The sequence below is a fragment of the Homo sapiens genome, chromosome 4 (assembly GCF_000001405.40).
Source record: "Homo sapiens chromosome 4, GRCh38.p14 Primary Assembly".
Classification (NCBI taxonomy): Eukaryota; Metazoa; Chordata; class Mammalia; order Primates; family Hominidae; genus Homo; species Homo sapiens.
In genome coordinates this window covers 27,118,720-27,140,200 of record NC_000004.12, presented here as the reverse complement: position 1 = coordinate 27,140,200, position 21,481 = coordinate 27,118,720, and the positions used below count along the sequence as shown (strand labels likewise).

Genomic DNA, 21,481 nt, shown 5'->3' with positions numbered 1-21,481 from the left:
CATTTACCCTACAGCAAACTATCAAAAATGGTGGAACTTATTAGAAGAAATGTCATGTCCTGTCCCCAGCCTTGCACTGTGCTGCTTGCTACCCATTTAAAGCAGGGAATCTAGAGACCTCTACTTTCTATCTTCATTCAATGGCATGGTTGGACACCACAATGAACAAGGTCCCGAAGGCTGCTGCACAAAGAAGAGTAAACCAGATTCTGCCCCAAAAGACTAGCTAAAGAGGTAACACTTATCTAGATAATTGATTAAAGAGAAACAAGAGGCCGGGCGCCATATATGATCTTAATTTCCCAACCTTAAAATCTCTGGCAACAGGATTTTCTGAACTTTAATTCTAAGTTTGATAAGGGATAATATTTACATTTATCAGGCCAGGAGCAGTGGCTCACGCCTGTAATCCAGAACTTTGGAAGGCTGAGGTGAGTGGATCATGTGAGGTCAGGAGTTAGAGACCAGCCTGGCCAACATGGTGAAACTCCATCTCTACTAAAAATGCAAATATTAGCTGGGCATGGTGGTGTGTACCTGTAATCCCAGCTACTCGGGAGGCTGAGGCAGGAGAATCACTTGAACCCTGGAGGAGGAGGGTGCAGTGAACTGAGATGACACCATTGCACTCCAGCCTGGGTGACAGAGCAAGACTCCATCTCAGGAAAAAAAAAAAAAAAAAGAGAAAACAAGAGTGCTGCATGTGTCCATGGGTAACTTTCTTACGGTTAGTTTAGACTTGAAAACAAGGCGTTAATACTAAAGCTTCTGAACAGACCTGCTTTCTCAGGCATTCTTAGTCCATATTGACTGAATGAAGGTGAATGTGATGCTTTATCTTCTCAACAGATTCTGCTGAGGGTTTGATAAATCCAAATGATAGCCCAAATTTAAACGATCCAGATTAATCTATCAATAAATGATTACCTACTACCTATTGTGATAGACTAGCCAGAATCCTTCACTCTTTCATGGAAACAACATCCCAACTTTGTTCAGTGAAATACTCCTTCCTTCAATCTCATTTGACAAGTTTACATCAGTGGTCCCCAACCCTTTTGCCACCAGGGGCCAGTTTCATGGAAGACAATTTTTCCACGGACCAGGGCAGTGGGGATGGTTTTGGGATGATTTAAGTGCACTACATTTTTTATGCACTTTATTTCTATTATTATTACATTGTAATATATAATGAAATAATTATACAACTCACCATAATGTAGAATCAGTAGAAGCCTTGCACTTGTTTTCCTGCAACTACATGGTTCCATCTGGGGGTGATGGGAGACAATGACAGATCATCAGGCATTAGATTTTCATAAGAAGCACATGACCTAGATCCCTTGCATGCCCAGTTCACAGTAGGGCTCACACTCCTATAAGAATCTAATGCCACCACTGATCTGACAGGAGGCGGAGCTCAGGCAGTAATGTGAGCAATGGGGAGCAGCTGTAAATACAGATGAAGCTTCACTTGCTCACCTGCCACTCACCTCCTGCTGTGCAGCCCAGTTCCTACCAGGCCATGGACCGGTACTGGTCCATGGCCCTGGGGGTTGGGGAGCCCTGGTTTAGATGATATTAAACCCACACCTGGCCTGGCTGATGAGAACATTACATCCTTCAGCTGCCAGGATGGACCAACATAAGTGATCCAACTAAAACCAATGACTTTTGCTGGGAAGACAGGTGAAGAGACAGAGAGAAAAAAACAGAGAGAAACTGTTTTGTCTTCTCATTTTCTTGTCATCCAGAAGCCTGGATTAATCGGAACCAGGTTGCCACCCAGAGGGAGAGGCATGAACTGAGTGATCATAGAGATAAAACAAGGGAAGTAGAACTGAAGGATGGAGAGAAACCAGGACCTGACAATTACTGGTGACATCATTTGAGCCCAAATCCAGCCATGTCTACAGGTGAGCTCCCCAAAACTTTTCAGTTAAGTCAATAAATTTCCTTTTTTTGAAGCTGTTTAAACATATTCAGATAGGAGATTTTTGTTACTCCACACTGAATTAGTAAAACTTTGCATAAGTATGAGTTTAACACTGGGAAAGTAATTTTAAAATATGAAATACATAGACTCTTCCAAAAAGAAATTTACATGCTAGTTAATAGAACACATATTATGGTACACAGGAGTAGACACTCATTGTTATGGTTTAAACAACCTGGCACTCTGATAAGTTTTCAGAAAAATAGAGCCTGACAAGTTATTATAGTTCCATGGGAAAAGGAAGTGGGGTTACCCAAGGTCCTGTTTTTAATTCTAGCTATTGAGTACAAAAAGGACCCATTACAATGATGATTTGAGAGTCTTTTTAGAGCAGATTTAGAGACCTTGAAACCTCCACCCACCACCATAATTTCTTGCTTTATTGTTCAGAGTGCCTGAAGCTTTAGATTCTGAATTCTAAGTTCTTCAGGGTAAAGACCTGACATTGGAATCTCAGCTACACAAAGCACAAAGAATGTCAGAGATGCTATATAAATTATACACAGCAGCAGTGATGAGAGAAAAGGAGTTACAAAGAAATTGTACTCCTCAGAGTTTTATGAAAATAATATTTCACATTGAAACAAGAAAATCTGGGAAACAGTTTGTACTGCATAGAAGTGGAAAATTGGGAAGTTAAGATCTGTGTTTTTAACATGTCATGATTAACTTAGGAATGGAAATTGGAAATTTATGATCTGGATCACTCTCCCTCAGTGAAATAATGCCTTGTGCTTATTTTTGTAAACTATATAGAAGTGAATCTTTAGGTTAAAAGCCCAAATCCTTTCATGCAGCCATTTCTTCCTTTAGTGATCTATGCATTTAGAAAATTGGTATATAAAGTAATATATTAAGATGAAAACTATAAAACATTTTGAAAAGTATTCAGAGTTTTGATGTATTTCAGAAAAAAATATAAAATTACAAAGTTTTACAGGCATAGGAAATGATACAAGCAAAAATAGAAGATCCTAAGAGATATTTACAAATGATAAACAAATGTGAGGTATAGACAAAAACTAATTGACATTGGCATCCTCTGAAGTTTTCCTATTTTCTCTTTCACCTATCCTCCCCTTCCGCCTATCCTCGCCACCAAAAAACAGATAAAAATGCCCCATAATACAGATACCCAAAGGGCAACTACATGTATCCTATAAAATGTTCAAGCTACCACTAGCTCTTTGTGACATTCAATAAATCAAGAAGGAAAAATTGATCATCAGACTTTTTTTAAAATAACAGTTTCATTGAGATGTAATTCACATGCAACTAAAGTTTACCCTTTTAAAGTTTACAACTCATTGGTTTATCATATATTCACAAACTACTGAAATTGCCTCAGGAAAGTCTGTAAAGAGATTAGTATTTGTCCAATTCATTTAGGTTATCTAATTTGTTGCCATGCAATTATTCATAATATTCCATTATAAACCTTTTTCTGTAAATCAGTAGTGATTTCCTTTTACTGTCCCTAATTCAAATAAGTTTAATCTTTTCTCTTTTATTCTTGGCCAGTTTAAAGTTTGTCAATTTAAGTGACCTTTACAAATAACCAATTTTTGGTTTCAATTATTTTCTCTATTATTTTTCTGTTCTTTCTTAATTTCTGCCCTGGTCTTTATTATTTGCTTCCTTCTGTTTGCTTTGGGTTTAGTTTGCTTTTCTTTTTATAGTTGCTTAAGTTAGAAGGTTAGGATATTGATTTGAAATCGTCATTTTTAATATAGGTAGTTAAAGCTACAAATTTTCTTATAAGCACTGTTTAAGTTGCATCCCATAAGTTTTGGTACGTGTGTTTTTGTTTTCATTCATTTCAAATTATTTTCTAATTCTCCTGATTTCTTCTTTGACCCATTAGTTATTTAGGAGTGTTTTGTTTAATTCCCATTTATGTGTAAGCTTCCCAAATTTCCTTCTATTACTGATTTCATTTTTGTCCTTTTAATCCTTTTGTCATTTTAATCCTTTAAAATTTATTGAGGCTTATTTTATGGCCTAACATATAGTCTGTTCTGGAGATAGTTCCATGTGTGCTTCAGACAAATATGCATGTTGCTGTTGTTGAGTGTGGTGCTCTATATAAATGTCTGTTGAGTCTAGTTGTAGTCTTGTTCAGGTCTTTCATTTTCTTATGGATCTTAAGTCTGGTTGTTCTATCCATTATTAAGAATGGGTTATGAAATCCTCCAACTATTATTGTTAGATTGTCTATTTCTCCCTTTGATCCTATCAGTTTTTGCTTCATGTATTTTTGGTGCTCTGTTGTTAGGTGCATATATGTTTATAATTAGTATATCTTTCCAATGAATTCACCCTTTTATTATTATAAAATGTCTTTCTTTATCTCTAGTAACAATTTTTATCTTAAAGTCCATTTTGTCTCATAATGTAGCCACTCTAGCACTCTTTTAAGGATTGTATGCATGGTATATATTTTCCATCCTTTTACTTTCAACCTATTTGTGTCTTTGATCCTAAAGTATGTCTCTTATAGAAGCATACGTGTGGATCACAGAGGGTTTGTCCAGTCTGCCAATGTCCGCCTTTAATTGGAGAATTTAATCCATTTACATTTAATTAATTACTGATAATGTAGGATTTATGTCTGCCATTTGCTGAGGCAGGGGAGTTCTGTGTATCTTATGTCTGTTTTTTGTTCCTCTATTCCTCTAATACTGCCTTTTTGTGTTAAATAGATATTTTCTTGTGTATCATTTTAATTCACTTGTTGTTTCTTTTACTATATCTTAGAAGTTATTTCCTTAGTAGTTTTCATGAGGAATACAATTAACATCTAAAAACAATCTAATCACATTAATACCAATTTAACTTTAATAGTATAGAAAAACTTTGCTTCAATACAGTCCCATTTCCTCCACCCTCCTTTGTAGGACAGGTCTGCTGGTGATACATTCTCTCAGATTTTGTTTTGGTTTTCTAGAAATACCTTAATACCCCCTTTATTTGTGAAATATAGTTTTGCTTGATGTAGAATTATTGATTGACAGGTATTTTTCTTTCAGCAGTTTGGATATGTCATTCCACTGCCTTCTGACCTCCACAATAGGAGGTGAGTTGTTAATCTCCTTGAAGATCTCTTGAACATGATGAGTCACTTCTGTCTTGATATTTGCAAGATTCCTTGTCTTTGTCTTTCTTTTTTTTTTTTTTTTTTTTTTTTTTTTTGAGACAGAGGACAGAGTCTCGCTCTGTCACCCAGGCTGGAGTACAGTGGCATAATCTCAGGTCACCGCAACCTCCACTTCCTGGGTTCAAGTGATTCTCATGTCTCAATCTCTCAAGTAGCTGGGACTACAGGCATGCACCACCATGCCCAGATATTTTTTTTGTATTTTTAGTAGAGACGGGGTTTCACCATGTTGACCGGGCTGGCCTTGAGCTCCTGGCCTCAAGTGATCCACCCACCTCAGCCTCCCAAAATGCTGGGATTACAGGTGTGAGCCACCACATCCGGCCTCCTTGTCTTTGTCTTTAGATAGTTTGGTTATCATGTGTTTGTTGTGGATCTCTTTGGGTTTATGTTCTTGAAGTTTAATGAGCTTCTTGAATGTATAGATTAAATTTTTATCAGATTTGGAAAGTTTTGGATATTATTTCTTCAAACACTTTGTGCCCCTTTCTCTCTCTGCCTCTCCTTCTAGATCTCCTACTATGCATGCATTAATACATTTGATGATGTCCCTCAGGTCTCTAAGGCTCTATTCACCTTTTTATCTTATTGTTTCTCAGACCGGATAGTCTCAGTTTACCTGTCTTCAAGTTCACTTATCCTTTCCTTGTTTGGTTCAAGTCTAGTACTTCTCATAAATTTTTCATTTTAATTATTGTTCTCAACTCCAGAATTTCTATTTGGTTCTTTTTTTTTTTCTTTTGGTAATTTCTATCACTTTATTGATATTCTCTATTTGGTGAAGTATCATTCTCATACTTTCTTTTTGGTTCTTTAGACACTGATAGCAGCAAGGGGCAGACAAATGCCTGTGCAAATGGGGCACATCCCTGGTGAAATACACCTTCAAGCTAAAAAACAACCTGAAGGCTGAAAGGCTGGACTCCTGGTCCTGGATGAAACCCAGACCCAGAGTGAGAACTTCTGTTTGTGTTTGCCTGCCCTTTCCTGATTGATTCTTTCTGAATAATGCCTTTTAACCAATCAAATGTTGCCTTTCCATTACTACCTATGGCCTGCCCCTCCCCTATTCTAAGCCCATAAAAGCCCAAGACTCAGCCACATTGGGGGTACTTTCCTGCCTTTTAGAGGGACCACCCCCATGTTCCCTCTCCCTGGAAAGCTGTTTTGTCACTGAATAAAACTCTCCACTTTGCCCACTCTTTGACTGTCAGTGTATCTTCATTCTTCTTGGACACTGGACAAGAACTCAGGAACTAGTGCACAAACCGGAGTCAGCCCGGGTAGGATGATTTGACAGAGCACCTCCTACAGCAGGTAGCATGCCTCTAGCATTGCTGACTGGAGGTCCCTGACTGGCAAAGGGACAAAGAAATATCCTGTATCACTGTCAATTAACAAGAAAGATTTTGTTACAATAGTATGATAAAAATAAAGTCTCAATGGCTTAATCTTCATATTGTATATCTTATTCCTACTACACATATAGAAGTAGGGTGAGGGGAGATCTACGGCCATCACAAAGAGACCCAGGCTAATGGAGGCTTCATTTCTGCAGGTGATTTCAACATTAACACTACATGGTAAAGTGAATCTCCCACTGGTTCTTTTTTTAAAATTTTTTCCACAAAGTGAAAGTAAGTTTATTAAGAAGATAAAGGAATAAAGAATGGCTATACCATAGGCAGAGCAGCCCCCACAATGGTTCTTAAAGAGCTTGGATTTCATTGGCCCAAACAAATCACTTGACCATACCTAACTCTGAGTGGATCAGAGGTGTGTAATTCTATCATATAACAGGAAGAAGAGAAAAGCCAGTTTATGAACACTTAAAATGTCTATGACCATGAGTCTTATCATTTTATTCTTTATCATTCTTAATTTAACAAGGACTATTTAGTGCTAAGTATAGATGTCAGTTTTCAGAAGCCTGCTTAACCAGTAAACACAGAGAAAAACTGCCTAGTAATATATTAAATTTTGGTCACCACTCAGTTTATTTCCCTAGAGAAATCTGGTATAATAAATTCCACTAGCAGAATTCTGGATTCTCCTGTTAGAGTTGGCAATGATGATAACTCTGGGGATATTGTGCCCCCAAATGATACCATTTAGTGGGGAAAAAAAAGGGAGGCAGAGTTTCAGTGTCATTCTTAATATCTATTCCTTCATTTAACAGACAATGATTGGCCGGCACACACTAGTCTATTTCACTCATTTAAAAAGCATTCCATAGCAGTCTATTATTTGGCAGATTCTGTTCTACAAATATGCATTAGCACCTGCAATGTACTAGAAACAAGCAATGCCAAGATGAATTCAATCCAACTCTACCCTGAAAAAAGTACACAGACCAATGGAAGATAGTGGTCATGTGATTAATAGACTACAATGCCAGGGTAGTGTTTGACAGCCAAGTTTTACTCTCTCAGTAAAACTGACCTTCCAGACCCATGGAAAGCCTCAGAATGTCTGCCCTCCTACCAAAACTACAGTAGAGAAAATAGGTAATTGGGTAGGATAAAGTAATGGCCCCACTTCTAGGTCATTGATTTTCAAATTTTCATACATAACAGAAGTACCTAGAAAAACTGATATCAATGTAGATTCTCAGGGCCCATCTCAAATGTTCAGATTCAGTTGATAGAGTCTTTGCTGTCAGACCCATGGGTGACAGTTATGGATTTTACTGTGTCTTCCAAAAACTTCATATGCTGATGTTCTATCCTTTGGTATTCCAATATGTGAGCTTATTTGGAAGTGAGGTTGCTGCAAATATAATTAGCTAAGATGAGTTCATATTAGGGGTGGGCCCTAGTCCAGTACGACTGTTACCTTTACGTATTACTCTGCTTGGGCCCCCATAACAAAATAGCACAGACTGAGTAGCTCAAACAACAGAAATGTGCTTCCTCACTGTCTTGATGCTGATGGTCCAAGATCAAGGTTAGTTTACCATCAGCAGGCCTAGTTTCCTCTGAAGCTTCTTTCAGTGGCACCTCCTTCTCACGTGGACCTCTTTCGGGTCCTCACGTGGCCATCTCTCTGTGTGCCCACATCCCTGGTGTCTTTCCGTGTGTCCAAATTTTCTCTCCACATAAGGACACCCATCAGATTGGACTAGGGCCCATCCTAACCTCATTTTAACTTAATCATCTCTTTAAAGGCCCTACCTCCAAATATAGTCACATTCTAAGGTACCAAGGTTAGAGTTTCAACATATAGATTGGGCAGAGGGAAGGCAAACATAATAGAGCCTATACACCTTATAAAAAGGGAAAATGTAGACATAAATGCACACAGGGAGAATGCCATGTGAAGATGAAGGCAGAGATCTGGTGACATAGCTGAGGCCAAGGACACCAAACACTGCCAGCAACCCATCAGAAGCTAGGGGAGAGACCTGAAACAGATTCTCCCTCATGCACGCAGAGGGAGCCAACCCTGCCGACGCCTGGATCTCAGACTTCTAGTTTCAGAATTGTGAGACGATCCACTTGTGTGTAGTCCACCGTTTGTGGTCCTTTGTCACAGCAGCCCTAGCCAACTGATCCACTCTCCTTTCCCACCACAGTCAATGCCACCAGACGTCCTGGTTAATAGTCCTGAATTTCTTTGCCTGAGACCTTTCCCTGGCTGCCAGAGTTTACAGGCTGGGGTATTAATGCTCCAGAAGCCGCCTTCAAATAAGAAGTGATGGAAGTTGATGTGTAAATACCCCAGATCCCTGCCCCTCAGAAGTAATAAATGTTCTGTAGCACAGAGTTCCTCTAGAGTATTAACCTTCAGTTGCCCCAGCCATAGGGGGCTTGATAACATACCTAAAATCAACTGACTCATCTTCTCTGCCCTCTTCCCCACTCCCCTACTGGGGTTTCCTTCACTGCCCCCACTTTACTCAATGCTTGCCTCAGGCTCTGTCCCTAGGGGTTGCAAATTAAGATATTGTTCCAGGGTAGGGCCTTGAGATTTTCATTTTTTTAAAATTATACTTTAAGTTCTAGGGTACATGTGCACAAAGTGCAGATTTGTTACATAGGTATACATGTGCCATGTTGGTTTGCTGCACCCATCAACTCGTCATTTTAACAAGCTCCCCTGTCACTGGAATGCAGGTAGTTTGTGGATCACCACTGGAGGCATGCTGTTTTGGGGAATCCAAGTTCTATCCCTGAGGCCAGTGAGAGAAACCCAAGGCTACATAATTAACTCCTATTGGTTCCTATCTGGCACAACCGTTGTGCTGAACTGAGCTTTTATGTGACATCCTTGATCATTATAAGTGAAATAGGAATTAAACATAAGTCCTAAATTCATCATAAAACTCTATTTCTAAATTCATTATAAAACTCTCACCATATATATAAAATTTCTCCCAAGATTTTTTTTTCTCTAAGAATTTTATGCCAGAAAATATTAAATTTCCTCTAAGGACCCAGAATGCTTCTCTGTAATAATGAGAGGTGTGGATTTGCTCTTTTTCCCTTTTTGGCCTAGTGACCAGGAAGCTCTAAGGCAAATCAGATGCTCAGTCACTATAATTATGGAGGCCACATTCATATTTGCTTCCCATCTCTTTCATGCTCTTACATTTCAATTCTACCTATATTTCGTTTTTGAAAGAGTCAAGGGAAAGGGAATAAAACAAACATTAGAGTGTGAATGAAGAATAATAAATTTTCTAAGGTTACCGAGGCACCAAGCCAAACAGCTTTTCCTCTACATTTTCTATGATGGAGTTTCTCCCAAGGAAATTTGATGTGGAGCACTTCATTGGCAAAGAATACCTAGGTGAAAGGGACTCTGAGTAAAAATGATTAATGGCATTTGACCTGAGCCAGTTCCCCAGTTACGCCTATTTGGCCTCTAAATCTGAATACATTCTGTGCTAAAAAAAAATGCGTCCGGGAAAAGAAAAAGATTGACTCAGTCAATAGGATCCCCAAAGGGAAATTTTACCATTGCTGCAGAACCGTGGTTGGGAAAGAAAGTACCCATGCACATTTCCTCTTGGGAAACCCCTGTTGAGAAGACAAGAGTTCTATTTTCCTTTCAGTTCAACTCCAGAGTGGCCCACTTCAGACAACTGCAGTTTTCTCTACTGAGTCACACTCCCCAAGCCCAAATTCCTGCCAGCCCCATGGGGGCTTCGAAGAAAGCGTAGAGGCTTTACTGTGCAGAGAACATGCTCAATGGTACCCTGAAAGTGATAGCTTCTCTTCATAAGGAGAGACACAGAGAAAAGACACAGGGACTGATACTCAAATAGAGACAGAGTGTGCAAAGCACAGCTTCATCTTCTCTAGCAGTTGTCTTTGCAGAATGTTCAGCATATTGTAGGCATTCAACATTTTGAGTTTGAGACATAATTTATTGATTCAACAACACATTATTTAATTCTTTCAATGACATCCTCACAAGACAGCTAAGAGAGAAAACCATTTGTATCTCAGAGGTGGGCAAAAAGAGCACAGAAAGATTGTGACTTATTTGAAGTCATATATGGCAAATGACTTAGGACTATTTATTCCCAGTCATTCCCTAGCAACCTGCACCTCCTCTTGGGTTTGATATCTCAGTTGATATCATCGCCACCCACACAACCTCTTTGGCTGAAATTCTCAGAGTCAAGCACAGCCCCTCCTGCTCCTTCCCCTCCTATATGAATTGCCACTAATTGCTTCTGTCTACCCCGGAGTCTAGCCCCTCCTCTCTGTCTTCATGGCCATGACCTGGCTCCCTCTTTGTCTCTCATCAGGACATTCAGCCAGTCAGGTGGTTTCCAGTCCATTCCATTTTGAGACCATGTTTGCAGAATCTGAACTAAGGGACTAAGCAATTGTGTTAAAGGAAGGAGAGGAGTGTTCCCTGCTCCAAAGGAACTTACAGTTGCGAGAAGACAGACAGAAAATTCCAATGTGTGAAAGTGCTAAAATGGGGCCATGGGGCCACAAGGCACAGGCATCCATTAATTAATTCATTGAACAAATACTTACACAAACATTGAACAAACTCTATGCCAGACACTAGGCGAGGTGCTGGAGATCATCTGTGAGTAAGACCATCCAAAGACCCCGTACCCATGGAGCTTGTACTTTCATGGAGGAGACAAACAAAAATACTCCATTGATGATAGATGAGATAAATGACAGATGAATAGAAAGAGGGTAATATAAATTACTGTAAATAAAAAGGAAGCCAGAGGGGTATCAGTGTAGGTTCTAATATAAACAGGGTGATCGAAGAAAGCCTCTCTGAAGATGCCGTGGGAGCTGAGACTGGAAGAAGTGAAGCAGTGCACCGAACACCAGTGCAAAAGCTTCCAGGCAGAGTGAATGGTAAGTATGCAAACTGTGCAACAGGAATGTGCATTTCCCTCCAGCCAGAGCCATAGCCCAGGAAATCCTCACGGAGAAGACAAATGTGTGCTGACTGAAAGAATGAATGAGGCAGCCAGGGATGGTGGCTCATGCCTATGATTCCAGCACTTTGGGAGGTCAAGGAGGGTGGATCACCTGAGGTCAGGCATTTGAGACCAGCCTGGCCAACATGGGGAAACCCTGTCTCTACTAAACATACAAAAATTAGGCAAGCGTGGTGGCATGAGCCTGTAGTCCCAGCTACTCCAGAGGCTGAGGCAGGAGAATCGCTTGCACCCGGGAGGCAGAGGTTGCAGGGAGCCAAGATACCACTGCATTCTAGCCTAGCGACAGAGCGAGACTCCGTCTCAAAAAACAAAAAAAAAGGAATGATGCCGGGCGCTATGGCTCACGCCTGTAATCCCAACACTTTGGGAGGCCAAGGTGGGTGGATTGCCTGAGCTCAGGGGTTCGAGACCAGCCTGGGCAACATGGCAAAACCCCCTCTCTACTAAAAATACAGAAAATTAGTCAGGCGTGGTGGTGCGTGCCTGTAATCCCAGCTACTTGGGAGGCTGAGGCACAAGAATCGTTTGAACCCCAAGAGGGGGAGGTTGCAGTGAGCCGAGATCGTGCCACTGCACTCCAGCCTAAAAGGACACAACGAGACTGTCTCAAAAAATAAATACATAAATAAAAGAATGAGTTGCTGCCAGATGGAAAAGGACAAAGAGCGACCAGCTGAGGGCAGACACAGGCAGAGCACAAAGCCAGGAAAAAGGAGTGCTTTCTCCTGGGATCTCCACATAGAAATATCTGGCCACCAAACGGCTTTGAACTGTGCCACCAGTTTCCTATCCCATGAACTCTCCAGGCTTTTTGCCTCATCTTTGTTCAATTTGAGCCATCTTTTTACACAGGCATTTCACCAAGAGAAGCTCTTTGAGATCGGAAGCTCCTATTAAAAGCTGGCCCACTCGCACCACAGTGAGGGATTTGGCCCATTTCCACACGCTGGACTGGCCTGAGGGTCCTGATGAGAAGAAACGGGGTGGGGAAACCACAACCCTGGCCCACAGGTTCCCGGGGAGGTGCGCTGCAGCTTTCAGGGGTGCTCGCCCTCCATTCTGGGCATTAGCTCAGGATATGGGCTTGGACATCGCTTTGCTTCACTGACTTTTTTGCAACGCTAAGCACTGCCTCAGTGTCTCCATCTGTTACACTAGGACCAAAAGTCTGTGCCCTCCCCTTGCTTTTCAGAGCCCTGTAAGATTATTTATGCATAGCCTATAAAGCCTGGTAAACTCCTCCAAGCACAGCTTTATGCAAATACAAGATTAAGCCTTCATCGGCAAGCAGAAGGTCGGTTTTCATTTCTACATCAGCTCTCTTTATTTTTTTGCTGTAGAAGGAAATCTATCACTCCAGTATTCACAACTGGAGGGGGAAAAAATTCCTGATTTTACTTCCATATAATCCAGAAGCCTATGGCTCCCAGAACTATTGCGGAAGAAGCCAGAAGAGGCCAGATGAGGCCTCACCGGGCAGAAGGAGCACAGCAGGGGCAAGCACTAGGACAAACAGCAGTAAAAGAAAGAAGTAATGGCCAGGTGCAATGACTCATGCCTCTAATCCCAGCACTTTGGGAGGCAGAGGCGGGTGAATCACCTGAGGTCAGGAGTCCAAGACCAGCCTGGCCAACATAGTGAAACCCTGTCTCTAATAAAAATAACAAAAAATTAGCCAAGCGTGGTAGCAGGTGCCTGTAATCCCAGCTACTCAGGAGGCTGAGGCAGGAGAATCACTTGAACCTGGGAGGCAGAGATTGCAGTGAGCTGAGATCGTGCCATTGTACTCCAGCCTGGGCAACAAGAGCAAAATTCCATCTCAAAAAAAAAAAAAAGAAGAAGAAAAAGAAGAAAAAGAAGTAATTAGGCCAGGCTGCAAGAGGAGAAGGGAAAGAAAGTAGGACACACAGCAGAGGTGGACAACCAGCGCTTACCATGCATACATCCCCAGGATCAGGAGGCTTAGAGGAGGCACCAGGAGAAAAACCAGCAGCTCATTGCCTTATCTCATAAACCAACTACTTCTGCGTGACCCCCTGCAATCCACGGAACCACCTGAGTCTCAATCATCTTGCTGAGAACTTGGGTATCATTTTTGGGTCTCCCTGTCATCTCACAGTCTAGTTAAGGAAGCTTGTGAGGCACAAAGTAGGGCTTTAAAGACAACCCTTAAATACAAAGGTTAGCCAGAGTGGTGGTGGGTGCCTGTAATCCCAGCTACTTGGGAAGCTGAGGCAGGAGAATTGCTTGAACCTGGGAGGCAGAGGGTGCAGTGAGCTGAGATCATGCCATTGCACTCCAGCCTGGGTAACAGAGTGAGACCTTGTCTCAAGAATTAAAAATAAATAAAAAGTTAGAGACAACCCTTAACTGGAAAACAAGACTATTCTACCCATGAAGTACCCAGAGCCAGACCACACCTATCTCCTGGAATGAGTTCTCCCATCAAGAAGTGACTCCTGTCTCCAGTCACCTCATCTGTTTCCCAGACCCACTCTCCGCTCCCACCTCCCCATCTGAGGTTTATACCTGCCCTACGGGACCCTTGACTTCTCAGCCAAGAATCAAGCCCCATCCATGCATGTCTGGCACTGACGCTCTATATTCAGGCTTGTTATGTCTCATGTGGAGGGAGGCATGCCAAATTCTACCTCTGCAGTAACTACTGAGTCTTTTATCCACTTATTCTCATGCATTTAACAAATAGGCACACCACTCCTACCATGTGTCACACACAATCGTGAACACTAGGACTCAGATGCACAAGCAGAAGATTCCTGCTCTCAGTTTAGCACTGGAGACAGAAGAAATGCCAATAGGACAGGGGTAGTTGATGGGTGTCTGGACCACTAAACACAGGTGGTCAAGGAAGGCCTCTCAGAAGAGGTGATATGTGACAGATGAGAGAGAGCCCGCCATGCAGAGATGTGGGGGGAGAGAGGTGGGGCATGAAGGAGGACAGCCAGTTCAAAGGCCCTGGGGCAGAATCAAGCTACATTCAGAAACCAGAAGGAGCTATGTGGCTGGAGCAGAGGGAAAGGGGGGAATTGGTAAGAGATGAGAGCAGAGAAGTTCCTCAGGCACCAGATATTCTAGGGCCCTGTTGGCTATGGTAAGGATTGAGGGTTTCGTAAGCGAAACTGGAAGGCATTCAAAGGTTTAAAACAAAGGAGTGATTTGTTCTGATCTGGGTATATATTTAAAGATCACCGTGGCTGCCGTTTGGAGGGAACAAAAGGAAGAAGAGAGGCCTATAGGGGCAGTTGCGGGGTCCAGGTGGGGGAGATGATGGCTCTGGAGAGGGGGCAGCCATGGAGATGGTGGTCCTTCCTGCTGTTCACCTGCCTTCATGCAGACCCTCCTCACTTCTTGCCCAGACTAATACAGTAGCTTCTGAATTCTTTATCCTTCTTCCCCAATCTCTCCCACATCAAATCAGCTCTAACACCACTACCTGGTAATGCATCCTAATGATAGCTGTGGAGCCACTGCTGGATGCCTGTGGAATCCGATTCACCTCCTCCTTATTTGCACATCACCATCACCCAGTTTAGGTTAATGAGAGGCACATGAGAGCCTACAGGGTGGCGCCTCCCAGAAACCTATTGCTTTCCTGAGATAAACAATAACAGACTTGGCTGATATGAGATCTTGGCCCTGTTTTTGCCTATGGTACAGTCACCATGCCCGGAGGTGGCATGACCACCTCTTAAGGATGGTGAAGCTCAAAGCTAGAAGAGACCTAGTTCCCAAGAGCATCTTTGAGCCCCTGGAGCATCCCCTGGATAGTCTGCCTCTGAATTCTTTTTTTAGCTGAGGAAAATGAACCTCTATTTGTTTAAGCCACTGTAGTTGAATTTCTATTAAGAGCAGCTGAACACATTTTCTCACCAAAGCAAGAAGCTCAGGGAATGAATTCACCTACAGCAATAGAAGATGTTAGCCCCAAGCATGTGGCTCATAAAACAGAGGGAGAATCGGGTTCTGATGAAAGCTAAGTCACTATCACATAAGGATTTTCAATAATACAAACTCTTAGTTTCTGTGGGGTAGTTGCTAGAATTCCATGATCTCCATATGGGCAGATGTGCTAATAGAAGAACATTGGGCCAAGGCCCAATGGCTCAGCTCCCCAGGGGAGTTTGTTCTGGATGCCCAGGTTCACTCCCCTAAACTCTGTGCATCGTGGGAGCATCCAGAGAGGCCTCAGAATGTGAGCTCCAAAGCAGTCACCTGAAAACAAATCACGGCCAGGCACAGTAGCTCACACCTATAATCTCAGCACTTTGGGAGGCAGAGGCAGGTGGATCACTTGAGCCAAGGAGTTCAAGACCAGCCTGGGTAACATGGCAAAACCTCATCTCTACTAAAAAATAAAAAATTAGCCAGATATGGTGGTGCATGCCTGTATAGTACCAGCTACTCGGGAGGCTGAGGCAGGGGGATCGCTTGAGTCTGGGGAGGTCAAGGCTGCAGTGAGACAAGATTATGCCACTGGACTCTGCCTGGGCAACAGAGTGAGACCTTGTCTCAAAAAAAAAAAAAATAACTTCCATTAACTGTTGGGTGTCAGAAGGCTAGATAGGGTCTGGAACAGAGACAACTCCTTCTCCTATAATTGTAATAGGTAAATTGTAACCATAATAGGTTCATTGCCTGAAGCACATGGCAAGTCAGTGCACCAAGGCATTGAGTAGTAGCAGAGAAAGAGGTTTAATCACAGGGTCACCAAACAAGGAGACAGCAGGAAACCTCAAGTCTGTCTCCTTGAGGAGTTTGGGGCCAAAGTTTTTAAGGGTTTTGGAGTGGGCCAAAGTGTGGAGATCATTGATTGGTCTGAGAGTGAAGGATTTAAGTCACGGGTCAAGGAGGTAAAGAAGCTGTATTCTCATGCTGATTTGGTTCCTCTGTGAAGGTCTTTTAACTGGTTGGCATCAGCTGTTTTGCTGGAATTCAGGATCTGCTTAAGCAATTCTGAAACAAAAGGCTTAGGATTCTAACATCAGAAATCCTAGCTACAGAAACAATGGGGATGCAAATAGCCAGTGTCTAGCATTGAGTGCCTTTCAGTTACACGGAAGTGGGTCAAAGTGCAGCCTGGTTAATGCTTATAACTATATTTCTGTCCAGAATTCTTGTTAACCATGTGAGAACAGCTCCACTCCAAGGTCCAAAAGAAACTCAGAGATGGGGCCAGGGGCATCCATGGAGGCCACCAGTCAGGCTGAAGCATAACATTACAGGCTCTGGGGGTCAGTCCAGACACAGGCAGGCAGCATCTCAAGGCCCTGTGTTGGAAAAAGGAAGGTTTCCCAGCAGGGAGAGGGCAGAGTATATGAGTCACCAGGGAACTCGTTAAAATACAGATTCCAAGTCAGTTGGTCTGGAGTGAAACCTGAGAGTTGCTAACAAGCTCAGAGGATGCTGAGGCTGCTCAACAGGTGACCACACTTTGAATAATGAGGAGTAAGAACACAGAATAGGGAGTGTGCCCTATGGGTATAACCAGGAAGCTACTGGGAGGTATGTGTGTGTGTTGTGCAGATGTGTGTGCTCATATTTTCACAATTGGGATGAGCAGGGACTCAGTAGCAATCAGATGAGTGAGAAATGGCGTTTAACACTGGGCAGGTTACCTATTGTTGACAAGAATTAAATCCTGTAAAAATATGTAAAGAGGTTTATTCTGAGCTGAATATGAGTGACCATGGCCCTATTTACAGTCCCAAGAGGTCCTGAGAACATGTGTCCAAGGTGGTTGGTTTACAGCTTGGTTTTATTCATTTTTGGGAGACATAAGGCATCAATCAATACATGTGAGGTATACACTGGTTTGGTCCAGAGAGGCAGGCTCACCTTTCCAGACTGAACCAACGTATACCTCACATGGTTTGGTGGGGGTGGGTAGGGAGGAAGCTTACAGATCACAGGTGGATTCACAGATTTTTCTGATTGGCTGTTGGTTGAAAGAGTTATTGAAAAACCTGGAATCAATAGAAAGGACTGTCTAGGGTAAGTTAAGAAGTTGTGGAGACTGAGATTCTTGTTATATAGATGAAGTCTCAATAGGTGGCCACCCTCAGAAGCAATAGATGGCAAATGTTTCCTATTCAGACCACTAAAAGGTGCTAGACTCTAAGTCAATCTCTTCAGGATTGGGAGGCCCTGGAAGGGGAAAGATCTAGTTACCTTAACAGAGATTCTTTACAGATGCAAATTTTCTCCCACAAAAGATGGTTCTGGAGGGTCATTTCAAAATATATCAAAAAAAATCTGGGGATAAAGAAGTTTGATTTTCTTTTTTATCTGTCACATGATGTTATGCCAGAGTCAGGTTGGAAAGTAAGTCATGTCATAAAGGGTTAAATAAAACCCATCTGATGAGATTTTATGGTTTGTAGGGCATGACAAACCTTGGTCTCTCAGATAGGAATTTGGGCAAGAGACGAAAAGGTCAGAGTTTAGTCCTCACTATGCAGAAAAGACATCGCTGAAGAATGTCCCAGGACAAGAGACATCCTTAGGAGCCCTGCCCGGCTGCCATCACTGCAGCTGTGAGCACTGCAGCACATGACTGGGGCCAGCATCCTCTTCAGATCCTCAATCTGTGTGGCTGCAATACACAAACTAGAGAAGCTGTCAAGTTTCTTCCTATGCAGTTCAGGTCTTCCTATGCAGCTGCCAGTTTCTTCTTGTGCACTCGGTTCCGACTGTGGTAACTGAAACTGAGTGCTAGGACTGAGTAAGGTCCTTGGAGTTCTTGGACTTGACACAGAAAAAAATAAAATAACCCAGAAAGGTCAATACATTCCTGCAGAGCAAGCTGGTGCTCAAGCCATGTGATCTAAATATAAGAAGGGATTTGACCTCAGATTGAATTCTAAGCCAGTAAAGCCAGACAGATTGCTTACCTCTATAATCAGTGAAAACAATAAAGCTATTTTCATTTGAAAGAAAGTAAAAATGCATAAAGGGCCTGGCCTTCTGAAAATTGCTCTAGATTGACTGCAAACCCAAGCATGCCCACGCTTTGCCAAAACTTAACCTGTACCGGCAGCTCAAATACTTAAAAGTCACAAGAATGTTCTTCTTTGCTCTTAAATGTGGACATGGGGGGAAAATGAGGAAGAAAAGGAGGCTGGATCTAGAGGAAATATAAAAGCTGGAGTGGATTTTTCCTCTCCTCTTTCAAGTTTGTTTGGAACTTTGTGAAGAAAATGTCCTGGTCTGTTCCATCACCCTCGGTTCTCATTTAAGCTGCACTGAGACTGTGTTTTGAATAAACAGAGCACAAGGGCAGTGCTTCAGAAAGAGCTTCATAGAGATTGAATGGATAGCAGAGAAAAGAGCCTAAAGCATGAAGATCTTGGGGCTCAGAATCAAACCTGAGTGTCCTAGGAAGCCTGTGTTTTCTTTCTCAAAAGTTTCATTTTTCTTCTCATCTCAAATTCTGATATCATCAGTTTGGGGTGGAAAGAGTAAATCTGGGAAGGATTGAGCCCCAGGAAGGAGCCCATTCGATCTGGTGCTGTCCCCAACCTACCCCACATGCATACAAACCTCCAGCTCAGCCTGCAACAGCCCTGACTCTATCTTGCTGGCTGCCAGGAAGTCAACCCAATGAGGCTGGAGGCCACACCTGCTATCTCCCTCCATATTTGTTCAATAACTTTGTTCTGGGATTCTCCGTTGAGGCCTTCGAATCTTTTTTCTCAGGAGATCCATGTAAAAGTGTCCTTAGGCTGGGCACACTGGCTCACACCTAAAAAAAGTGTCTTCATGAGCAAAAGAAATTCCCTTTTATCCTTCTGATATGGTTTGGCTGTGTCTCCATGCAAATCTCATCTTGATTTGTAGCTCCCATAATTCCCCCATGATGTGGGAGGGACCCAGTGGGAGATAATTGAATCATAGGGGCGGTTTCCCCCATATTGTTCTCTTGGTAGTGAATAAGTCTCACGAGATCTGATGGTTTTCTAAGGAGAAACCTCATTTTCTTGGTTCTCTCATTTCTCTCTTGCCTGCCACCATGTAACACATGCCTTTCACCTTGCGCCATGATTGTGAGGCCTCCCCAGCCACATGGAACTGTTTAAACCTCTTTTTCTTTATAAATCATCCAGTATTGGGTATGTCTTTATCAGCAGCGTGAAAATGGACTAATACACCTTCCTTCTTCTCATTGACATAAACCTACCTGCAGAAAGCTAAGACAGACCAGAGCATGTCAATCACCATAAAGAAGGAAAAAAATTTAACACTGATATCATATAGATAAGGAAGGTTGAAAGATTTCTGGAAGTTTTTTAAGCAATATAGCAAAAATGTAAACTTTATAAAAATTAAACTTGTGGACATAGAATTGCTGTGAATCACAGATTCTTTCTTTTTTTTTTTTTTTTTTTTTGGTGGGGGAGGCAGTTAAGGAAATAAAAACTGGCAAAGCATTAAGCTGTTCAATCAGTTTGCTCTTGTGTTGCTTTCAAGTAGTGACCACAGCCTTGCACGTTGCTGCTTGGGGTTCTGGGCTTTCAATTGCAGCTCTTGTTAAATGCATGTTTCATGGTCAATTAGAGCTTGAAAAAAATTGAAGTAGGAGAGAGGGGCCGTCCAAGTGAGTAAGTTCAATTGATAAAAGCCAAAGGAAAAGATCTACTTTCATATTCCAAAGCATGTAGAAAAGTGTCTTATGTTCAGCCCCTCTGATAATAATTAACCCAAGAAGCCGCTCAAAAGATGTACCCCAAAACGTGAGTTGTAAAGCAAAAGTAAAACGTAAAGAAGCAGAAGATGAAACTAGAAAGAATAACTCAAGGGATGAGGCTAACTAGATCAAAAAGATTCATAGTGTGGAAGATGACAGACCTAACAGGATTGAGGAGAGCCCCGAGTCTAGCTCATAGCTGACACAGTTTCTCCAAATCCCTCTGGGAGAGGCTGGAGGGGGCTGTGGGTAGACCTGTGGTGTGCTGTAGTGAAAAGAAAACCAGAATTGGTGATTTCAGGGCCAGTCTTAGATGGTGGTAGTTAAACGTCTCACCCAGTATCCATTCTAGAAATACCTACTAAGGATCTGCTAGGAGCCAAGCTCTGAGATGGACATTATGGTTCTGTCATGAACAGTATAGACAGGCCTAGAAGAATGCATATATATATATTTGCATGTGTAAATGTGTGTATGTGCATATTTATGCCCCTGTGCATACAAATACGCACATACACGTACAATCACAGAGAAAGTCATGGAATGGAATGGACAGCTCTAGAGAAATGCTTATTGAGGAGCGCTGACCTGACCTAAGGTTAAGGAAGCCTCCCTGAGGACGTGATGTTTAAACTGAGCCCCAAACCTTATAGGAGGAGGAGGAGGAGAAGGAGGAGGAGAAAAAGAGTCAGTTGTTGGGTACTTACAATGCATACAGCACTGTCGTAAACATTTAGCATGTATGAACTCATTTAATTCTTGCAACTTTACAAAGCATGTACTATTATTATCCCCATTGGGTAGATAGGGAAACTGAGGCACAGGGATGTAAGTAGCTTGGCTAAAGTATCCTCTCTGATGTATCAGTGATGTTCCTAGTCACCTGCACTGACTTTAAAAAATCTCCAAAGAATAACTAAAGTAAACATGATGTGATGGACAAACTCAAATGCCACTTTGCGTTTTTAATCTCTTCAACCCCCAAATCATTCTCTGCAATAGGAAGAGGCAACAGCCATGTGGCTGTGAGGGCTGGGCTGTGGGGGCTGCCCAGGAGCTGTGCAGCCTATGATGGGATGCTCTCCTGTGCCCTTCAGTCACAGTCAATACATGAGTGGACTCTGGGGCCAGCCTGCCTGGGCTCCAATCCCAACTCCAGGACTTAGCTGAGAGGAGTGGGTGACTTATTTCTCTCTG

The 21,481-nt window shown here is 42.3% G+C and overlaps 4 annotated features.

Moving 5' to 3' along the window:
• Nucleotides 15,558-16,415: an enhancer, noted in NCBI's record as "OCT4-NANOG-H3K27ac hESC enhancer chr4:27125408-27126265 (GRCh37/hg19 assembly coordinates)". NCBI's record gives its function as "activates a minimal SCP1, AML or CMV promoter by ChIP-STARR-seq in primed H9 embryonic stem cells {active_cell/tissue: H9 hESC(primed)}" and the evidence as "EXISTENCE:reporter gene assay evidence [ECO:0000049][PMID:30033119]".
• Nucleotides 16,416-17,274: an enhancer, noted in NCBI's record as "OCT4-NANOG-H3K27ac hESC enhancer chr4:27124549-27125407 (GRCh37/hg19 assembly coordinates)". NCBI's record gives its function as "activates a minimal SCP1, AML or CMV promoter by ChIP-STARR-seq in naive and primed H9 embryonic stem cells {active_cell/tissue: H9 hESC(naive and primed)}" and the evidence as "EXISTENCE:reporter gene assay evidence [ECO:0000049][PMID:30033119]".
• Nucleotides 16,800-17,094: a silencer, noted in NCBI's record as "tiled region #8465; K562 Repressive non-DNase unmatched - State 24:Quies". NCBI's record gives its function as "represses a minimal TATA promoter and a strong SV40 promoter by Sharpr-MPRA in K562 cells {active_cell/tissue: K562}" and the evidence as "EXISTENCE:reporter gene assay evidence [ECO:0000049][PMID:27701403]".
• Nucleotides 17,275-18,133: an enhancer, noted in NCBI's record as "NANOG-H3K27ac hESC enhancer chr4:27123690-27124548 (GRCh37/hg19 assembly coordinates)". NCBI's record gives its function as "activates a minimal SCP1, AML or CMV promoter by ChIP-STARR-seq in naive H9 embryonic stem cells {active_cell/tissue: H9 hESC(naive)}" and the evidence as "EXISTENCE:reporter gene assay evidence [ECO:0000049][PMID:30033119]".